This window comes from Homo sapiens, chromosome 16 (assembly GCF_000001405.40).
Source record: "Homo sapiens chromosome 16, GRCh38.p14 Primary Assembly".
Taxonomy (NCBI): Eukaryota; Metazoa; Chordata; class Mammalia; order Primates; family Hominidae; genus Homo; species Homo sapiens.
Genome location: NC_000016.10, coordinates 79,157,194 through 79,180,175, shown reverse-complemented (window position 1 = coordinate 79,180,175; position 22,982 = coordinate 79,157,194). Strand labels below are relative to the sequence as shown.

At 42.8% G+C, this 22,982-nt stretch overlaps 1 protein-coding gene across 2 annotated transcripts in view, besides 1 other annotated feature; it reads right to left on the bottom strand.

Moving 5' to 3' along the window:
* Positions 1-22,982, bottom strand: part of WWOX (WW domain containing oxidoreductase) — a 1,113,014-nt gene that overhangs the window by 32,492 nt on the left and 1,057,540 nt on the right. The window lies entirely within an intron of this gene.
* Positions 9,790-10,362: an enhancer, noted in NCBI's record as "H3K27ac hESC enhancer chr16:79203711-79204283 (GRCh37/hg19 assembly coordinates)". NCBI's record gives its function as "activates a minimal SCP1, AML or CMV promoter by ChIP-STARR-seq in primed H9 embryonic stem cells {active_cell/tissue: H9 hESC(primed)}" and the evidence as "EXISTENCE:reporter gene assay evidence [ECO:0000049][PMID:30033119]".

Sequence of the window (22,982 nt, the reverse complement as noted above, 5' to 3'; positions counted from 1 at the left end):
ACCAGCGTCGTTTTGATGTACCCGTGACCAAGACTCTGGATTCCCCAGAGTCTCTTCTAACATAGCAAAGATTCTTTCTTGTTGAACTGGGCAAAAGTGCACAATAGAATCTCTCAAAAAGCAACTCAGTGGAAACCTCAAGACAACAACCATCTTCTATGGGATAAGGGGAAAAAAAAAACCTGGTCTAGGAATCCAGTAACATGGACTTAAGTCTTGTATGTAAACTTCATCACCTGTGTGTCCTTGGACAAGTCACTTCACATCTATGCTGTAATTCCAACCTAAATCAAATGTGTTCATAGGGTACTTAGACTCATTTGGTTAAGTTCCATGACAGCTGCTGAAATGTTTAAAAACAGCTTATACATCTCCATTACACATCCCAAGGAGTTAAGGGATTCAAGGTTGAGATCTTTCAGTCCTTTCCCATTCAAACATCTACTGGATTCACTGAGCCTGGCCATACCCAACTAAAGAAGGATCTGGTAAAGAAAGATCAGGTAATAGATTTCCAGTGGCTCAAATACAATGGAAGGGAAGCTCTGCTCCACATGGTCACTCAAGGAACCAGCCAGAAGCTACATTGCTTTCCACACCTAGATTCTAACATCATTCTGAATGTTGCCTTCATTTTAGCTAGGCTGAAGGAAAAACAAAAACAAAAGCATGAAGGATTGCATGTTTGCAGGTTTTCCCTTGGTTCGGACTGGAGCTGCCAGGCGTCACATACTGCATTAGTTAGGATTCCATTAGTTGGTCAGGCATTACTGCTGGGGAGGGTGGAAAGTGTACCCAAGAAGTCTGCCTAGGAATAAGGCGTGATTTGCTAAGAGTACCTCTCATGGCTGGTTTCAGAGGAAACATAAAAATGGAAAAATGTTGTAATCGGTTTTTATGTTCATTCACCACCCTGGTCCAAGTCAAGTAAGCATTGCTTACCTGGCATTTAGACACGTTGTTTTACATCTCTGAGTTTAATGCTACACTTTTGGAAGACAGGACTTTTAATTATGTCCCTTCCAGGTTTTGTGAGTTTAAATGAGATGATGAGTTTCTGGTAGTTCCCCCATGTGTCCTTAGCAGGACCTTGGTCCCCTAACTCTTGACCTCCAGGCTCACAGAATATTGCTGAGGCAGGGCCAGGTTTAGCACAGTAGACTGATTCTTCTCACTGCTGCATTTACCTTGCAGGAGTATGATAAACTCACATTTCCCTAGAAGGTCCTGCATAGTCAATGGGAAATATAATACTCAGTCTTCTAACTAAACAGCTCTCTGTGCCACCATGAAGTTATTTCTTAAGTGAAGTACTTCAAGATATATTAAACAAAAAAAATTGTTTCTATTATTCAAAAGAAAGCAAAGAGGAAAAAAATTGTAGTTGGAAACTGTCATAAAATTAGTCGACCAAACGTTTTTGGTAATATTCTCCCATCCAGGAAGAGCATTAGGTAGGCACATCCCATACCTTTGGAAGACAAGAGCTACTTAAAAATGGACTACGGATTCTTCGAAGATTGGAGAGATGAAATTTTTAATATGTAAAACAGGAATCAGGCTGGGTGTGGTGGCTCTCAACTGTAATTCTAGCACTTTGAGAGGTCGAGGCGGGAGGATCACTTGAGCTCAGGAGTTTGAGACCAGCCTGGACAACACAGTGAGACCTTGTCTCTACAAAAAATTTAGAAAATTAGCCAGGCATGGTGGTGCTCACCTGTCATCCAGCTACTCGGGTGGCTAAGGCAAGAAGACTGCTTGATCCCAGGAGGTTGAAGCTGTAGTGAGCTGTGACCGCACCACTGCACTCCAGCCTGGGTGACACAGTGAGACCCTATCTCAATCAATAATATTAACTAATTAATAAAACAGGGATCAGCAAACTGCAGCCCATGGGTCAAATCCTGCCCACTGTTTTTTGTTTTTTGTAAATAAAACTATTAGCAAATAGTCACTTGTTCATTTGTGTATTGTCCATGGTTGTTTTGCACTATGATAGTGCTATGGTCTGAAGGTTTGCATCCTCAAAAAATTCAAGCGTTGAAAAGGAATCTCCAATGTGATAATATTAGAAGATAGGGCCTTTGAAAGGTGATTAGATCACAAGAGTGGATTTGTGCCTTTCTAAAAGAAGCCCCAGAGAGCTGCTTTATCCCCTCCCACTAAGTTGACACAGCAAGAAGTCATCATCTATGAGCCAGGGAACGAGCCCTCAACAGAAGCTGAATCTGCCGTTGCTTTGCTCTTGGACTTCCCAGGCTCCAGAACTTTAAGAATTACATTTCTGTTATTTATAAGCTACCTAGTTTATGGTATCTGTTATAGCAGCCTGAACAAAGTAAGGAAAATGGTAACATTTAGTACTTTTGACACAGGCCCTATGGTCCACAAAGCCTAAAATATTTACTATCTGTCCCTTTTCAGAAAGTCTGCTGACCCTTTTTGTAAAAGAATAAGTAAGGCTGGGACTACTGAATATGGCTCAAATGTAAGTGCCAAGCATGAGCCAGAACTGAACACACATTGAGAAACCTTAGTCCAAATAAAGTGGGTTTTCAGCTGATGCTCCCACTTTTTTCCCCCACTCCATCACCCATTTTCAAATAAAAGAGCCGGTGAATTGATTAGAGACAAGAGAATTATTGAAAGCTGGAAGGAGAGGGATTTGAGGGATCTGTAATGACCCCATAAAAGCTTTGTTGGGTTGCTTTTATGAGCCTGACCATAAGAGGTTAGCGGAAGTGTGTAAAAGCCTTGCCTTTTGGATAAATGCATATCCAAACCCAGCCACGGAGGGAGAGTGGAAAAAAGGGAAATAAATGACAAGTACAGTACTTTAACAGGGAAAATTTCCTCCGAAACGAAGCGAGCAATGAGGCCAGGCGAGGAATAAATGGTGTAGAAATGACAGTCGCTTTTCAGTCGGCCACAACGGCACTCGCGGCTGATAAGATCCAGCATGTGTCAGTTGCCACGTCTCTCTTTTCACACTTCAATGTGAACTTCACAGCAAAAGGGGAACCGGAGGCAGCGAAGGGGAAAACAGTGCCTCAGAAGGACTTGTGCACTGAGTGTGAAGCCATTTCAATTTTATATTCGAAAGGACTTTGTAGGTGATCCCATGAATGCAATTATGCCCACCTAATAAAAGCAACATATGCTAAGACAATTAAAAGATTTTATTATACATCTATTCATTGTACTCCATTTTCAGCAGGAGGGGTGGAAACTGATGAGAGGGAAAGGGTGCATTTCACAGGAAGGGGAGCCAAAGTCGGCCTGGATTATGCCAGTGGGGAAATAAATGGATGATGATATACTTTTCAAATAAAGATGAATTACTATATTACTCTTTTCCAGGGGTCTTTTTGCCTTACAAATGCCAAGGCTCAGGTTTCCTATGACTCTATATTATGAGAAAATACAGCTGAACATACCACTATGCCTCCTTAAAGCCCTCGGTGTTTTGTATTCTATCATAAAATGAAGACCTCCAAACTATGCCAGAAAGAAAAAGACATGTCCATAGATTCAAAGTTTAATGACATGAAGACACACAGACATCAGTTTAACTTTCTCACATCCATACATTCTATGTATATTTATCAGGGACCAAAGAGAAGACTCAAGTTTATACCAGAGACTGCAGATGCTAATGGGGAGAAAACTGTGTGTATCCTCAAGTAGCTCCTGTGACAGACTGCCAGCTTCTTAACAAAAATCCATTTGCTCTTCTTCCTGAGCAAAGGGCTAGAGGATATTTGACATCCTACTTTTCAGTGGGAGATAGCCATGTGACTAGTGCTTACCAATAGAATGAGGTTAAGGCTGGTAAGAAATACCAGATGACTGGATGCAGATATCAGCAGGGAGAATGGAACCACTAAGTGGCTGCAGCCTGGATCCCTGAGTCACTTTGTGGAACGTAGCTGCCATTGGCCAGGACTACCCACTTATGTTGCTTTCTGTGTTAGAAATCCCCCTTTGGGGGTTTCAGCTATAATGCATTTTGGGGGCTATTTCTTACTGTAGCTCAGCCTATCCTAACTAATACATTTGCAACACAGGTGTGCAAACAATCCATATAGGGGTCACTTCAAACTGTAACAGCTGCTCTAATGTGCAGCTTAGGGAATGGAGACAAAGGGAAAATCCAGTTTCATAGAGCAGGTAACATTTCTGCTAAAATTCAAAGGCATGAAGCTAAGGAATTTGACAGGCAAGGGTGGAGGCAGGAATGGAACTCAGGTAGAGATTACAGCATGACCAAAAGCTCAGAGGTGTGAAAGGATGTGGCTGTTAGTGCAATCATGAGTAATTAGGGGAGTGGGGAGCAGGATGTGTGGGAGGAAGGAGTGAGACAAAAAGGGCACATTGGGACCAAACAGAGTTGGAGCTCCCATGGGAATGTGTAAGTCGTATGAGTAACTCTGAAAGGATCTTTTTTGTTAAACATCGGTGCCAGGACACAGAACAGGCACACAGGCCTGCCTCTAATGCTAACATCCTTCATCAGAATCAGAGCACGTCCTCATCACAGCTGAGTTAGACACAGTCCATGGAAGGTCAGGAGCCCTATGAACTACCTACATTTTCCACTCCCTGGGATTCTTTCACCCAGGAATGAAGATCAAAACAAGGACAAGTGAGAAATCTACCTAGTAATATCCACGGAGCTAATCACAGACACAGATTGTCACGTGATTCCTGCTAAAGAGAGTCAGACTGACCAGAGCCACAGCTTTGTGGCCGACCTGGTGGCCATGTGTAAACATGAACAAAGCTCATCCAAAATATATTTAAAACCCACACCCAGAAGTCTTAGATACCTTACAGTAAGTGAAAAGGTCAGTCTTTAAGCTCCAGAGTATATAGGCTTTCTTATGTTGAATAAAGTTGGATTTCAAACTGATCTGTAACATTTCATCACTGAGAAGCACTTCAGCAATTTTCAAATGCCTTCGTTCAATTCAAGCAACTAGAATGAGGCATATTAAAAATTAGCGCCATTAAGGCAGAGTTGTTCAACTTTTATGGGGTCATAGCTAGACCCAGTAGGTTGCCCCAAATCCCAAACACTAGAGAAGTGATCTGCACAGTTGATGTGGTTGTACTGGCAGAGATTGGTGGGATAATGAGAGGGAGGTTAGAAGTTAATAAGACACGGTATGCTGAGGGAGAGAACGCGTGCATGTTGATATAAGACACATCCAGGTAAGAATACCAAGTCCTCAGGGTTACTGCTAATATTAGATGGAATACATTTTGCAAAATGACAACCATTTATGCAAGATGGCATCTAGTAAAGGCTCAATAAGTGAAGCTACTTTATTCATCATCTTTTTACTCTTAATTAGTATTAATATTTCTGTTAAAGTTATCAAATATATACTTATTAGCTTCTAAAATTAACCATGAGTACTGCTCACTCATATTCTAAAAGAACCATCTAGGCTTCATTTCACCTCAGTGCTTAGGGCGGACATAGAAATTCACTGGACATCAGTCCCTCTTAATTTTTGTTTTTGAGATGGAGTTTCACTCTTGTTGCCCAGGCTGGAGTGCAATGGTGCGATCTCGGCTCACTGAAACCTCTGTCTCCCAGGTTCAAGTGATTTTCCTGCCTCAGGCCCAGAGTAGCTGGGATTATAGGCATGCGCCACCACGCCTGGCTAATTTTTGTATTTTTAGTAGAGACGGGGTTTCACTATGTTGGTCAAGCTAATCTCAAACTCCTGACCTCAGGTGATCCACCTGCCTCAGCCTCCCAAAGAGCTGGGATTACAGGCGTGAGCCACCACACCCGGCTAGTCCCTTCTTAATCTTGAAGGATTTGCTGTAACTTGTCTGGCCAAGGCACTAATTATTGTATTTGGGGGAAAAGATAATTTTTCAGTAACTGCCTGACAGGTAAGGAAACAGAAACAAAGTGTACAGCATTGGTGGCCAAGAGGCATTTGCCACTGAAAACTGGGCTGAGGGAAGCTTGCTTTATCAACCTGTCTACAATACGTGTCCCGGTATCGTCACTAACCTGCCTCTCAGGACCTTTCACTCTACAAAGCCATGGGAACCAAGCCCTCACAAGATCAAGGTCAAATAAACATTCTGACTGTATGTGAGCACCACTTACAATTGCGTATCTTGAAAATACAGTATCCTGCCAGTTTATAAGCTGCCACAGATTTCACTAGGGAGGCATTTTAAGTTAGACATTTTCAAATTCTAAAGGCTGTGCAACACATTAAACACTTTGAAAAGTGAAAAAAAGTATCTATGTAGATAATATATCACCCACCGTCCTCTCCCCCATCCATCTTTCTTTTAATATAGTTCTAGTCAGAGAGTATCTCTCATTTTGAACCCCACTTTGTCATTAAACCTTTTATCATAAGTATTTTTTCCAACTGTCATTTTATTTTAGTGGCTACCTAGTATTCCATTAAGTGAATATACTATGATTTATGGAATCATTCACCTGCTGTTGAACCTTCAGGTTGATTCTAAGGTTTCACTAGGTGGGTTTTTTTTTTTTCTTCAAATTTTTCAAGAGAAAGGCTTTATTTGATAGGAAATAGTTATTTCCAGTGGCTTTGACTGTGAGTGTTGTGAGCTACAGTCTCTTTTTGTGTGGCTGAAGACTTATCAAGGGAAACTGCTTCTCAGGCCATCAGAAGCCACCAGTTCAACTGCTTGCTTAGAACCACAGTGAGCTTCTGGTCCCAGTCTCTGCCTGTTTGCTCACTTGGGTCATGCACGTGGGTGTGTGAAAGAGACCCATGTGGGCCATCCTAAGAATCACATATCTGCACCAATGGGTTACTGAGTTGTACCCCAAACATACAAAGTGTTTTTACGTCTCTAAGATGGCACATGGCACATGGCACATGGACATGCAGGGTTCCCTTCCTGTGGAATGTGCCACTCTCACACCCCTCAGGAGGCCCAGGAGGGGAGCAGGTGATGTGAACCGAAAGGGTTCACTCTGCAGTGACGTAGATGCCTATGGACACAGGCCCAGAGACATGGGCACACATGTGTGTCAAATGTGATTAACAATGGATTTTATGTTGGGAAAGATTCTTCTGCAGAGAATCCTGGAGGTCTTTCCAATGCAATGAAATGGATTCACAGAGGCATTTATTTACTTATTTAGAGATGGGGTCTTGCTCTGTCACACAGCCTGGAGTGCAGTGGCACCATCATGGTTCACTGCAGCCTTGACGTCCCAGGCTCAAGCAATCTTCCTGCCTCAGCCCCCTGAGTAGCTGGGACTACAGGCGCACACCACTACACCTGGCATTTTTTTTTTTTTCTTTTTGCAGGTAGTCTATATTGCCCTGACTGGTCTCAAACTTCTAGGCTCAAGTGATCCTCTCATCTTGGCCTCCCAGAGTGCTGGAATTACAGGCGTGAGCCACCATAACTGGCCGTGAAGGCATTTAGGTTACAATTTTATATTTCCATGGCCTTTTTACACACACACATACGTGCGCGTGCACACAAACAAAAAAACACCTCACAGTTTGTCTTTGCCATTGGTAGTGAGATCACCAGATTCCGAGGGAGGGCAAAAACACACTCCTAAAGAGGCTCCACAGGTTCTTTCCCAGAGTAGACATGCTGGATGCAATTCATGCAGCCACTCAGTGAGGAGGAGCAAACATTTATGTAGGGCCTACTCTGAGCCAGACACAGGGCTCGGGACTACAGGTACCAAGATAAGTGGTTGCTGCTCTTGAGTTTGCAGCCCAGAGCAGAAACACAAGGCATTGAAGTGACTCAGATACAGGTTTAAAAGGGCTGCCTGCTCTGAAATCATGGATCTTTGACCAAATCTGAAGTCCGCGCTTCCTGCACGAAAGCAGCTGCATTTAATACATTCCTACGTGCCAAGTGCCATGCAAAGCTGTGGGATATACACAGTTCCTGCTCCCTAAGGCTCAGTGCCAAGTGGGGAAATAAAACAAGGGCATTATTTTGGATATAATTAAGGAAATGAGAGAAGTTCATGGGGCGTACAACTAACCACCAGGAACCCAAGAAAATGTAGTTCCTGGCCTCCACCTGCTACATGGTGACAGAGGACAGTCACGTGCTAACACAGGGGAGGATCCCAACTTGCCCTCGCTCCACAGGCTTCTGCAGGAGCTCCGTGTTCCTGAGAGTCAGGATGACCTGTCTGACTCATGGCAAACTGCCAACTGCATCTGAAACCCAAGCTTATGCGTATATCGAAATGCAGGAAGCCATCTTAAAAGGATGCACTAATTAGCTTCCTGGGATTTCAGATTTTAAAAGCTTCTGTGATCATATTTGTTTTGGTAATTTTTTTTTTTATTGAAAAGGATTCCGAAGATTGATTCTGCTGTCAGGACATCAGAAAACAAAACAAACAAAAAATAAGACAATGAACTTTACTCGTTTCCATAGCGAAGTGCTTTCAACGTGAATGAAGAAAGAACATCTGCTGATTGGATGATAAAAAAGCAAAATGGCATTAAAAGGCCATGATGCACAGTGAAGAACCAGTCTCCCTTGGGTGGCTGGACTCAACACTGAGATACTCTTGAAGAGCATTTGTAAGCCCACTGTGAAATCAGCACCCACTGTTAGGGGACCTGGGGGCTACCATTCTTATTTCAAATTAAAACAGCAGCAAAAAAGGAATGTTTAAATTCTGGGTAGCAAACTGATGTGAAAGATGACACCGACAAAAAACTTCTTATAAACCACCAACCACTGTTTTCATTAAAAATGGAGAGAGCTAATAATGGAAAGGGTGTATATGATAATTATATTTGTTCAGTGTGGGAAATAAATAACAACTATAGTGCTACACTATTAAGAGAGTATGTAATCATGTTATTAGATATGTCCTATAATTGAAAGCCATTATCAGAATACTTCCTTATAGAGTTAATTCCTCCTCTGAGCAACCCCTAAACCTCGTCTACATTTTCCCCGGGTGTCCCTATGTTGTAATTATCTGTCGCTATGTGTGTCTCCCAAGTCAGTGTGTGATATCCAAGGCAACTCCTGCAAGCATTCCATCCCTCTCACTCTCACGTGCCTAGCACTGGGTCAGCAAATAATCACCACTGAATAAACATAGTTCCTCTTAAAGTTCACTTCTCTAGGCTGACTAATCCTTTGGTCTATTCTTGGAAACATTTCCCAACATCTCACATTTTTCTTAGATTGGGGAGTGTGCATGCAGGAATATTTAGATAAGTCAATGTATTAAAAATTTGTAGGCAAGGCACTAATAATCAGCACACAGGAATCCACGAAGGTTTGGCCAAAGTTGATGAAGAATCACGAGCTATCACCCTCAAACCTGGAAAGACCTCATCTCCTGCTTAAATTTCTTTAAAAAAGGATGACCTTGCAAATTACCTCCTTGTAAATGTAACTTCTAAATTTAGAAACATACAGAAAAAGAAAAAAAAATCATGAATTGAGCTTGCAACATCTTAAAGAGCGCATTTACTGTAAAAAAAAATAGAAGTAACTCTTGACTGTGAAAGTGAGTTCCATTTTTTAATTTGTGTGGTTTAAGTAAAAAATTTTTATTTTCTACAATAGAATCAAGCAATCATTTGCTCCTAGAGAAGTAATTTACAGTCAGATTTCATTTTCTTAATCTGGCATAATTTAGGGTATGAAACTCATTGATTTATGAGAGTGGTACCATTTTTAATCCAAAGATAACATTAAGTGGTCTTAACAGTTGTATTGCAGGATGCTCCCTATAAGAAAATGTATTAGGAGGCAAAAGAGGAAAGTGCTTCTGGAGTCAGACCTGGGTCAAATTCCATCTTTGCTACTTCCTAGCTGGGGGACCTTGCATAGATCACGTAGCTTCTCTGATCCTCTATTTCCTCAACTATAAATTGGAGATGACACTATCAGTTTTGTGGTGAGGATTAAATGAGATGATGTTTGTAAGGAGAAATGTGCAAAAGGAACATAGGACATTCTACCGGGAATCATTTCCACTGGAAAAACATGGTTAGACTGGGTTATTGAAGGACATGATAGCAACTTTTCCAGAGATGATGAAAAATACTCCTGTATTTTCACCAGACATGTTAGGAGATCCTAACTTGTTTGAGCTGGTTGGCGCTCATTATAAAATCTCCTTTTAGGAGGGGTAATGAAGGTGTCCTAAAGATTGCAATGCCCTGCAGGAGAGCACCCAAGCCTGGTCAACAGAGCCAGTTCTGCTGAGCCACTGTGCATGGCCATCAACATAGAGGGTTGTTTTTTTCCATCTTGATTTCTGGGCCCATCAAGCCCGCTGTAAGAACTTCCCTGCAATACAGCAATCTCAAACCAGACTTTTCCCACTATTTAGAGTCAGGAAAAACGTCTGGGGAGGAAAAGGGTAGTCCCTAGAGTGACAAAAGGAGGCTGTGGCAAGGTTGGGCACTGGCGATCCCAGCCATCCTGCCCACCCACCCATTTGGCAGGTCCATTCTAAACTGCAATTTGTCTTGGACAACCTACCTTCCTAGTTGTTGGTTAGGGCTTGTGCCATCATTTCTGTCTTTAGCTATTTGTGTGAAGCAGGAAGCACATTCTCAAAATTCCTCTTCCCCATCCTTGATTCTGGGTGCTGGGGACTTTACCCTGGCTTTAAAAGGACAGCCAGGAGGTGGCTGAAAGGAAATGCAAAAAAGGCTTACAGGCCCAGCTTTTAAGAATTCCAAGAATAGTGCTCAGTGAGACCCTCTGCAGCTGCAGGGAAGCACTGCATTTCTCCAAGTTCCTCCAACTTGCAGATGAAGACGTGACAGGCAGCCACGCAGTTGTTGTGGTTTATGCAGTCATGGCCCTCTGGGGCTTGATCTTGTGATCAAAGTCCTTTGTGCTTTCTAACACATCACAAGTCTCAGACATTTGATGTGCTAAAAACAAACTACTGTCTAGAGTCAGAAAAACCTGGAGCCAAATGCCCCTGTCTCTGAAATGGGAGACTTTGGACATGTTATTTAATGTTTCAAGTCTTGGTTTCCTCCTCTCTACCATGGGCCAAATTTGTTGACTTTTCAGAATTGTGAAGTGGAGGATTAAGTGGGATCATGTTTATAAAACAGCTAGCACACGCCTTGCCCGTATTAATTTGTATCTAATAGATTCTCCATAACTTTCACTTTAAAGGGGTGAAAAGATTTTTAAGGAAGCTCCGGAATCAAGATTTTTACAGTGGGCCAGTTTTCAAAGTGAGATAGTTTGTATAAGGAAAACCTTTAACTTTCTAAAGGGATTTTTCCCATGCAAAAGTTTTTTGTTTTAAAAAATGTTAAGGAACTCGAGGCCACAGCTGATGGAGGTGTGGAGAGAGTGAATTCTGGTCTCAACTGGATCTCAGCTGGATACAAACAAGCTCCGGGATCTTGGGAAACTGGAATGACTTTCCTGGGACTTGGTTTACCCCTCCCCCTTGCCCAGCTTTCCTCCTCTTCCCTGAGGGGCTTCACAAAAGCCAGGTAAGAGCCTAGAGGTGAAAGTACCTGGAAATTCTAGTCGACAAGTGTAGATGGCATAATTATCACTCTCTTGCCTCCCTCCACATTTCTAGGCCCCCCATTGTCCCTTCCTGGGTAATATGGAGCTTCAGAGGTGTGGGCAGGGAGGCGGGGAGAGACTGAAATAACAGGGACTGGATGCCTGCCAGATATTTCAGTTGCACATGCACAACTTGAGTAAGTCCCTGGGGGTTGATTATAGTTACCTGAGAACACTCCTTAACTCTTTCTGCAGAAATGAACTTAATGAAAAGCCTAGTGCCTTAGAACACATCCAGAAGTATTAAAAGCAGAGATTTTCTGTAAAATGGTACAGGCAGCCACTGTGGATAGCAGTTTGTCAGTTCATCAAAAAGTTAAACCTAGACTGATCATATGACCCAGCAATTCCACCCCTAAGTATATACCCAAGAAAAGTGAGAACATGTCCACACAGAAACTTGTATACAAATGTTTATGGCAACACAAGTCATTATACCTAGAAGGCGGAAACAACCCAAATGTCCATCAATGGATGAACAGATAAACAAGATGTGGTATATCCATGCAGTGGAATACTATGCAGCCATAAAAAAGAATAAAGTACTGACACATGCCACAACTTAGACAAGCCTTGGAAACAGCATGCTAAGTGAACGGAGCTAGACACAAAAGGTCACATATTCTTTGATTCCTTTTATGTGGTATACCCAGAATAGGCAAATCCACAGAGACCAAAAGCAGAGAAGTTGGAAGAAGGGAATGGGGCAGTGATGACTTTATGTGTATGCTTTTCTGGGGTGATGACAAAGTTTTGAAACTAAAAAGAGGTGACGGTGGCATAACACTGAGTTCACTAAATGCCACTGAAGTGTACACTTTAAAATGGTTAACTGTATATTACGTGAATTTCATCTCAACTAAAACAATGTTTGCAGGGAAACGAAACAAAACAAGGATACAAGGGTTTTTGAAGTCATTGTGGCCTGAATTTGAATCTCATCTCTGTCTTATTTGACTTGGATAACCTTGGGCAAGTGACTTGGGCACTGTGGGCATTCGCTTCGCTGCCTTAAGCTGATGGGAATTACGATGCGTGGAGGCCATGGAGCATTCCAGGAGACTCTGGAAGCAAAACATCTAGTGCAGGTCAGTGCATGATGGACACACCAGAGATGCCAGCTCCTTACCTCCCATTCCTTCACTAAATGTCTCCCTGTCTCCAAGGTCAGAGCCATCTGAGCCCTCAGTGTCATGGAGGGAAACTACACACTACAGAAAAAAACCAAATACTAAGAATAATATAATAATCACACTTATACTCACCACTCAGAAGTTATTAGCATTTTGGAATTGTTAGCATTTTGTCATATTTGCTTCTTTGCTAATTTTTTAAAATAGTGAAATAAAATATTTCTGATGGCCGGGCATGGTGGTTCATGCCTGTTATCCCAGCATTTTGGGAGGCCGAGGTGGGTGGATTGCTCGAGCACATGAGTTCCAGATCAGCTTGGCCAACATGGCAAAACCCCGTCTCTAATAAAATACAAAAAAATTAGCCGGCCGTGGTAGCACACACCTGTAATCACAGCTACTCAGGAGGCTGACGCATGAGAATTGTTTGAACCTGGGAGGTGGAGGTTGCAGAGAGTAGAGATCAGGCCATGCACTCCAGCCTGGATGACACAGCAAGGCTCTGTCTCAAAAAAAAATAATTATTATATATATGATGAAGTTGAAATTTACCGAGTGTTGTATACTTAGCTTAATGTCTCTTCTGAACAAATAAGCAAGTTCACTAAAGAATTAATACATGGAAAAATAGTTTATTTGTTCAACTGGTCTTTATTCAGGGCCTACTATTAACAAGATATATACTAAAGAATGCAAACACAGTGTTAAAGAGCTTCATTGTAATGAATAATCTGAGCAGGTGCTGGAAGTGGTAGTTCAGCGGTCTTGAGGGACAGTAGTCACCATGTGCCTTGGTTAGCTCATTCTATTAAATGAAATTGGTAGTTTGCTTCCTAAACTTGGATTGCAGTTAACCAGCACAACTCGAAAAATAAGTCTACCTGACATAGTCAATTCAATTGTTAGCTACCTAACAATTGTGCTGTTAGGAAATGTTGAAAATGCGGACTACTGCCCGTATGGTGTGGTTCTGAACTCTCGTTGAAAAATAGGATGGTCTATGAAAGTACACAGTGGCTCTGTGACAAAGGAGGGAGGATTTATCATTGGAATGAACTAAAGAGGAGGCAAAAGGGAAGAAAAGCTGCAAACTAAGAAGGATTTAAAACACAATCTTTGTGGTGGAAATAATGTAATTCCATCCTCCTGTGTCAGAGAAATTAAGGCCTGGAAAAGCCCTGGCTGAAACACCCAGGTTGCTGAGTTGGGAGTGAGGGGAATGAGGTGGGGAGGCAACTCAGTGCTCTGCCTCCAGAAGTGATTGAAGTCAATTTCTTTATAATTTCATGTTTTCCTAAAAACAAGATGATTTGTTTGCACTATTAAAAAAAGTCAAGAATGGACTTCGGCAATACCCCAACTTGTCTGAAGACTACGCTGGGAGGTAAAGCTGGTCTATGCTGCTGGGACGCAGCCTTTTTAAAGGAGATCACTGTACCTGAAATGCAGATAGTTATGAAAATGACATTAATTTGCTTAGACCGAAAGATTTTCACAGGAGAGCAACTACCAGAAAACATTATGAAAATGTCTGAGAGGGCTGGTAATTGAGTTGATTAGTATGACCTTGGTTATGAAGGTAATAGAAGAGGGACGGGTGCTTAGACTGAGTTATAACCCTGTTCCCGGTTCGGCGACCGAGTGAGGGATGTAATTTGTTCAGGCTGACTCGGAGAAGCCAAGCCTGCCTGTGACAAAGTAATGCTTTGACTAGCCGAGCTTGGCCTGTGCTTTTCACCCTGACAGAGTAAACAGGACAGAGTCAAATAAGAAATCATGGACTGGGTTTGTGTGCTACTTCTCTGCGTAAAACCAGCTGTAGGCAGAATCTTCTGGACAATGAGTCCTGAGAAGCACGCTTTCACTGCCTCTGAACTAGCAAAGAGGGAACAGAATACAACTGCACCCCAGCTGAAACAACACAAAACAAAACACCAACATAAACAAAGAATAAACATCCCAAGGAGGTCTATGCTGAATTTGCTCTGATTCTATTTTTCGTATTTTTTTATAGACATTTATGAAGCAATATGCTACCGGCTGCAGTGGGAAATTTAGCTGCATTAATCATAAGAAAGGATTCCATGTCTGGCTCTAAAGCCCATGTTGTTTCCACGACACCTGCTTCAAACAGGCAAGTTTCCCTCTGTAACATATACGCACCCATGTGTGCACACACACATGAAATTGACCTCCGCAATGGCAAGGTCATTGGATGCCGGAAGCCGTTACCATGAGTATATGAGGTCACTAGCATTGTAACTACTTCTACAAAAGTTCATGTCCAGGGAGATTTATCTAGTTTTTTTTTTTTTTTTCCTTCGTTTTAATCTGTGAAGACCTTCCATATCAAGTTTACCCTAGGAAAGAGATCTTACATGGAACGTAGGATAAGTGATACTTCAGAAACAACTATGGTCCTCCCAGAGACCCTCAAATAGAGGTTAAAAGTCTATACATAAGGGTGTGGAACATTTTACACTTACTGTTTATACATGAATTAGAGAGTTGTACTGGGTGAATAACAACAGGGTATCTTTATGCACACTTTGCCTCTTCTCTGTGGTGTGTGGGTTTGCCTGGTTTGTGTTTGTGTGTGTATTTGTAGGTTTTATGAGTCTCCGATTTCAGGGCTGGTGCTACATAAATGACAAAGGGCCCTGAATCCCTTGTCTCCTTGCCTCTGTCACTGAGTTTGCTGACCCTCTAGTGAAAAGGATCTGACCACCACATGCGAGTGGAATAAATTATCGCTGACACTCCAGTATTTAATTATGCAGCTGTCAGAGCGGCCCTTTCGAAATTCATTTTAATAAAGTGGGAACTTTCCCTTTCAAGGTTAGAGTGAGGGGAGTCACCTTTGGTGTCAGCCGGAGGTCTCCACCATGAGCTCTGCATTCTTGCTCTGGACGCCTGTCACTTGGCCTGATAGAAGGTCCTGATAACAGCGCTGATGCCTGGTGGCCTCCCCCCATCCCCCCATCCCTGCCTGAATGAACATCCTTCATTTAAACCCACAATAATGAGGACCTCAAAGTCAGAGAGGCGGGCACAAGGGCAGCCTGTCGGGGAAAAAATGGCTTCTTATTATAAAATTCACTCAATGTGGAAGTGGCAATCTAAAAGCAATCATGGCCATCTCCCCGTTTTAACTGGTTAACCAGCAACATTTCACATGGTGGAAGGAAAAAAACAAACTCTGAGCTAAGTGGCGTGGTAGTGGTGGGGCATCCAGACACTGGCAAGCCTCAATTGCTGTAGCTCCCAAACACGTCAAACAGACATGAAAGTATTGATTTATATTTTTCTATAAAATAAAAAGCAGTATTAAAGTTTTTGTAGCCTTGTTTCTGGGCCATAAAGTGGCACCGAGGAAAAGCTTTTATATGGCAAACTGAATGGGTGAACGCGATCACGCCTGCCTATTATGTATATGCCTAAAGTCTATGTTTAGCTTATACTTCTCACTGTTTATTTGCAAACCATGCCCACAGACACCCTGCAGAGGGAAAACCGTGGGCTGGGCTAGAAACGGCAGAAGCAACTCGACAGATACAGCCAGATCAGTTCCTTTTTTTTTTTTTCCAATTCTCTTCCTTACTGTTGCTTTCACTTTCTCTCTTTTCCCCCTCTGACCTTATTCTCTCTCTCTTTTTTTTTTTTTTTTTTTTTTGAGGTGGAGTTTTGCTCGTTGCCCAGGCCAGAGTGCAATGGCACGATCTCAGCTCACTGCAACCTCCGCCTCCCAGTTCCAGTGATTCTCCTGCCTCAGCCTCAAAAGTGGCTGGGATTACAGGCATGCACCACTATGCCAGGCTAATTTTGTATGTTTAGTAGAGATGGCGTTTCTCCATTTTGGGCAGGCTAGTCTTGAACTCCTGGCTTCAGGTGATCCACCCCCTTCGGCCTCCCAAAGTGCTGGGATTACAGGTGTGAGCCACCATGCCCGGCCTTTCTCTAACATCATGATGAATATGCATTGATTACTGACTGTGTGCAAGGCACTGTCCAAAGTTTTCTGTATGCTTATCTCTTATAGAGCTCAGAGTAACTTCATAAATTAGGCGCCTTAATGACGATTCCTACTTCTACTAAACTGAGGCTCAGGGAGACTAATGGGCTTCCTCAAGACCCCCCAGTTAGTACATAGCTCCACCACGCAGTTTTCAATGCTTGGATGTTTAACCACCCTGCTAATGTTTATTTCTTTTCTCTTTCTCTGGTCTCTTTCTCACTAAGCCTATTCCTCACTTTCTTCCCTCCTCCCAATCTCTCCCTCCTAGGTTTGTATACACAGTGTCTCCCCCAGCATATATAACAGCTCCAAGTAAACACACACAATGAGCCATCTCCTGCACACAAATGTCGCTTGTCAACAAACACTGGTTTGACAAAGAGGCCTCATCCTGTGTGTTTGGATAAATGCCTGAAAGAATACTTGCATGTGACTGTTGAAAGGCGCTTTCTCTAAACCATAAGCAATAACTAAATCTATCCATAAGGACTTTTTCTGGGGGACAACATTCTCTTCCCAGAGATGGGAAAGATGGTTGCTGAGATGAATTACAGAGCAACAGGAGGCAGAGAGCAACACCTTTGCTTTGGCTTAGAAGCTCTCTGGGAAGACATGGTTTGCAGAAGGTTGGGGAAGGACCTCCAGATCCACCTGAAGTCTCTACTGGCTCCCCCAGCACAGCTTCCAGGGCAGCAAATTTGCAGGATGCCCTTTTGTCTCAATTCTTGAGCCTCTGAATGGGGACTCAGGAAGGCGGTGAACACAGGACCTTGGCATGATCTGTTGAGAGCATAAGGATGAAAGCAGAAGACATGGTCCAAGGGCAAACTGTTTGCATCTCCCAAGGCCTGATCTTTATTGTCCTGTCCCTAAGGTCTCCGCCCCAAGGGTATCCCTGTGTCTTCAGGGCTAGAGGTAACTGAGGCCTTCCATGACTTTCTATGTTTACCATCAATGTTGCCTACTAGAGGAACACCAGTGGCATCAGGACAGCTGAGAGTCAGCATCCTACCTACGGAATCCAGAAGAAGCCCCTAACTTGAATCAGGCAACCAGGGACAAGAGAGAGTATTACAACCTGTGCACGTAACTCTGGTCTGCGTGGCCTTAACTCCAAACTTGCAAGGCAGGAAACTGTACTTTGAAGAAGTAAATTCCGCCTTAGAGCCCCAGAATCTGTCACAGAGGCAGACTTCCGTGATGACTTACTGAAAGAATGGCTGAACGAATGATACATACCAGCATCTCATCAACCCAAAGGCAAATATAAAAATATCTCTTGGGCCAAGAAAACACTTGTGCAAAACCAGGCACCCTTTACTCACAGGTAGGAACACTCAGTAAAAAATCAGGTAATGATTCAGGGGGTAGCCAGTGACCAATTCAATAACTACCCGTAACTTCAAGCTATCCAAGAAAAGGACAGATCTGGGAGACAGGTGTCCTGGTTCTGGTCCTGGCCACTGCCAATTTACTGAGACACTCTGTGTAGGTGGATTCCTATCTCCAGGCTTCTCTTGGCCTTTCCAAGGCCTGGGAGGGAAAATTAAAGCCTCATATTTCCCCTCAAAGAAACAAATCCAAGACAGTCCAGGGAGGTGACAGAAAAAGCATTTCTTAAAGTGAAAAAATCTCAACCACGTGAGGTGGCTCATGTCTGTAATCCCAGCACTTTGGCAGGCCAAGGCGGGTGGATTGCTTGAGGTCACGAGTTTGAGACCAGCCTGGCCAACATGGTGAAACCCCATCTCTACTAAAAATACAAAAACTAGCCGGGCATGGTGGTGGGTGTAATCCCAGCTACTCGGGAAGCTGAGGCAGGGGAATCGCTTGAATCCGGGAGACAGCAGCTACAGTGAGCCAAGATCACGCCACTGCACTCCAGCCTGGGCAATGGAACAAGACCCTGTCCTGAAAACAATAAAAAATAAAAAGTGAAAAAACTTAGACATAACTTATTCAGAAACATTTTCATTTCCTCTCTTCTCTCCTTCTCTCCCCTACTCCTCCTCTCTCTTTAGTCAGTATTCATCGGGTGCTTATTTTATGTGTCAAGCTTATGCTGTGGACTTTTCATTTCATCCTTAACAACAACCTTAGGTGGGATGAAGGGAGTACAATGACGTCCATCCTAGAGATAAGCTGAGGCTTAGGAGGTGAGGAGCCAGCACAAGGTCATTTAGCTGGGAAAAGACAGAGGGAGGATTTGAAACCACCTTCACTTGCCTGTGTGCACTCAAATGTCATGTCATATTTTTACCAAATATATTGGTACTTGTCTTTGCCTTCTATCCTGGAAGTGAGTCCAGAATTGCCTTATCTAATCCATGGCAAACCTATTTCATGAGGTCTGTGTTAAACAATACCTAGAGGTGTTTGTGCGGAAAAGTGATCTCCTATATCAGCAGTGTTGCCATAGTCAGAGTAATGGAAATTGTAGTATAATCCCAGCAACATTATTGAACCAAACAAGGTGCCAGGAAACGTGCTACATTATATATAGCATGTATACACATATATGTACATATGTGTATCAGAATATATGTATTGTATGTGTATATGTATATGTGTATGTACACAATTTATGTATGTGTGCGTGTATACGTACACACATGCATCTATACATGTCTACATATACACAGAACATATACATATATGTACACACAGACATATGAATGCACAAATCACATTTTTTTCTCTAATCTGCACCATTACTACTGTTCCCATTTTATCACTAAATCGATGGAATTCAGCTAAGTATCTGCCAAGATTGTATGGGACGTGATCAGTGAGCCGAGTGTGGGCTGCAGATCTGCTTGACCCATACCTCTTCAAAAAAAGAATAAATGAAATAAAATAAAACAAAATAAAATGCATCCATAATGCCTCCACTTCACCTCAGAATTTATATGACACTTTCAAGTAGGTTACATCATTGTATTTAATCCTTAGAGCAGTCCTATGATCGGCTCTTATTGATATTAATATCGAGGGTTCATCTGATCTCTGTTTTACAGATGATGAGATCAAGGATCCTGAGGTGCTGTGATTTGTCTAGGGGAATGCAGGTGACAGTAGGTGGAGCCGGGACTAGGTAGCAACCCTCCACCTCCCGCTTGGTGCCACACCCACTGTGTTGCATGGAGTCTATCTTCCTTCTTTCTCACGAAATAGTCTGCCTTGCTTGGTGGCTCTGTGGACCAGGGATGTCTATACATCAAAACACTCTTCCCATAGGAGCTCTCACAACTGACAGCTCCCATCTTGAACAAACAGACCAGTGTTCATTTGGATGTTCTCGGCCTCACGTGGCACCCACTCCAACGGCTTCTTGCCGAGTGAATTTAGACAATGTGCTTGATGCCAGCACTCTCACTGCAAATGGGAACAGATTCACAGAGCACCCAGCAGCAGACATTTGTCAGGAATTTTGCAGTCAGAAATAATGACGGGTCAAAGTCAGCCCCAAATCCCAAAGCCCCCTAGGTATGAATCCCGGTGCTTTCACCTGGGGAGGGTTGGGAGTCAGATCACCCCTCCAAATGAAGATCCTCTTCAAAGAGGAGGTGCGGCATACACCCCAAGCTGACAAGCCCAGGCTAGAAGGCGAGAATGGAGAAATAAATCCTGACTCAACTAGAAGGATTAGAAAGTCACCTAGCATGAGGAGAATTCGCACTCCACAAATTTTTCTCGACTGAGTAAATTTGAAGAAATAAAACTAGATTGAGCATGCGTTTAATACTGCCTGCTATCTTTCCCCCTGTTCTGCTCAGTGGCTTGTTAAATATGAAAAGATTTGTCCTGCAAGGGGACACGGGGAGAGACAATCTCTGGGGGACTCATCAGCTACCCTGAGCCTCCTCTTTGTAACCCAGGTAAGAAAGAGAGCATTTTCCAATTCCAGCATCTGAGTGCCCTGGTCTTGTGTACAAGTCTCAAATATAATCAGTGGTATAACAACCGTCTCCCAGTAGAAGGTGTGATATAAAGAGCTCATTCGAGATGCCAGGAGCTTCCCTTTCTGACCCTGGCTGCCTGAGAGGCAAATTGCATTAGAAAATGACATGCCATTCATCTAGCCAGTACTTGCAGGAACATTTAGCTAATTAAATGATTAATAAATTTAACACTGCTTTATAATTTCATTTAGCTGTGTTGGAAATCACACGGTGAGCTGCGTATGCACCGAATGAGATTAGGTGGGAGTGAGGGTTTCAGAGGCTGCCCTGGTAATTGAGATTAGTCTATTACTACAGTGACCTTTTTAACTTTTATATTCTCTTGTTAAAGCGAAATAAAATTTTATTCACTTTTAAGGCATATTTACTTAGAGAAATTTACATGAAATTAAAGAAACACCAAGCCCAGAAGCCTACTGGGGCTGGAATCCATGCACTATTTCTTTCGTAATTTTCAGAGCTGCTTTAGGAAATTGTTCTTGAGTTGGCTGCAGGCAGAGTGAAGAGCAATGTGGTTTTTACACTGTTCTTTCATCTATTCAATAAATGTCACGTTCCTGGTGTGTCCTGGGCACTGTTGTAGGAACTGGGACTACAGCAGTGAAAATGACCTAGGTCCTTGTTGTCACAAACTTGAGTTCTAGTGGGAAAATACAGATGACAAGCAAATGAATAAACAACAAAATAAACGAGAGTGAGAAGCACAGTGCTGAGAACTGGAGGAGGTGGCTTCTTTAGACTGGAGAGTTAAGAAAAATCTGTCTGTAAAGGCGACAATTAATCTGAGATCTGACTTACAAAAAGCAATCAGGTGTGCAAAGCTGGGGAGGATAGCAGGTGGGGACAGAGAGGCTGAAGGTGAAGGCCCTGAGGCGGGAATGCAGGAACTTGGTGTGTTCAAGGAATTGAAAGAACAGGGAGGCGTGAAGTGATCCAGCATATGTGGAAAGGGTCAGATTAAGCAAGCCCCTGCTGACAGGATAAGGAGTTGTATTTGTAAGTGTGGTGGGAAGCCATGAAGGGGTTTAAAGCAGAGTTAAACGCCATCCGCTGGGTGATTCCATCTAAAGCAAGTGATCCTGCAGCTGCAATTCAGAATGGTGTTAAAGCCTGACTTGGTTTCCCTTACCTTCAGTCTCCTGTCCAACGTGTGATTTTTCCACCTGAAAACTCTATTTGCTAGTCTTGTTTCTCTGTCTTTTTCTTGAAATGTGGTTCTTTGTTTGTTCCAGGTATTTTGAAAATGTTTCTGATCATCTCCTCCTTAATAGTTCTTCCCGGCCAATTTTTTGCTCACCTCATCTATGAAATCCCAACATATATATTTTTAAACTTCCAGAGGTCTCTGTCTACTTCTCTCTTGTGGGAACCATGCTGTTTCTTTTCTGTCCTCCCATGCTTTGACATCTGGGATCTCCCCTCCCAGGGTCAATAAATTCCTAGAGGCAGCAAACAACTCACTTGGGGGCACCCCTTTTGAATGCAACCCAACCAATCCAGAACTTACACCCCACCACCTCCTTTATTTCTCATGCCCCAGGCCACCATCCACCCTTTCTAATCACCCAGGGCCAGGTACCAGAAAAATAGGGACAGCCCCTCTTCCCCAGAGCCTGCTGAACTTACTCAAACCCTAGTCTACTTACCCTGCCTCGTTCAGTCCTCCCCACAGAACCCACGGTTTGACCCTCTCCCTCTGCCTCTTGACCAGTCCTGGTGCCTCCCCATGTCCCTCCACTCTGACATAGCATGTCCCCTTCCCTTGCAAACTGTAAAGGACACAGATCACAATCATCACAACTCTCACAAACTGTCTTTTCAGTGGTCATTGTCTCCTGATCTGCTGGTCTTAGCATACCTAAATAATAATAAAACCTGTATTTTAAAACATCTCCAGATAGCCAGTTTCATCGTGCACCAAATAATAAAAACTACTGATTACTGAGGTTCCACTACATGCCAAATGCCTTAGAGATGTGATTGACTTCAACCTATTCTAGTTCAACCTTCCTTTACACAACCCTGCAAAGAAGGTATGGTTTTGTGGTTTCTTTCTTTTTTTTTTTTTTGGCCATTGTATAAATGAAAAAACTGAGACACAGTTTATGAGACTTGACCAAGGCTCACTGTTTTCTAACTGTGAGAGCTAAGAGTGAAGCCCAGAATAGAGATGGTATAGTTCTTAAAATCAGAAAAAGATCAGTTTTCTTGCTACTAAAATGAACTAAAGGCCACCACTTCCTGACAGACTCTTGAATGCTCTTGTTTTGTCTTTTTGGCTCATCCAGCCAAACTGGT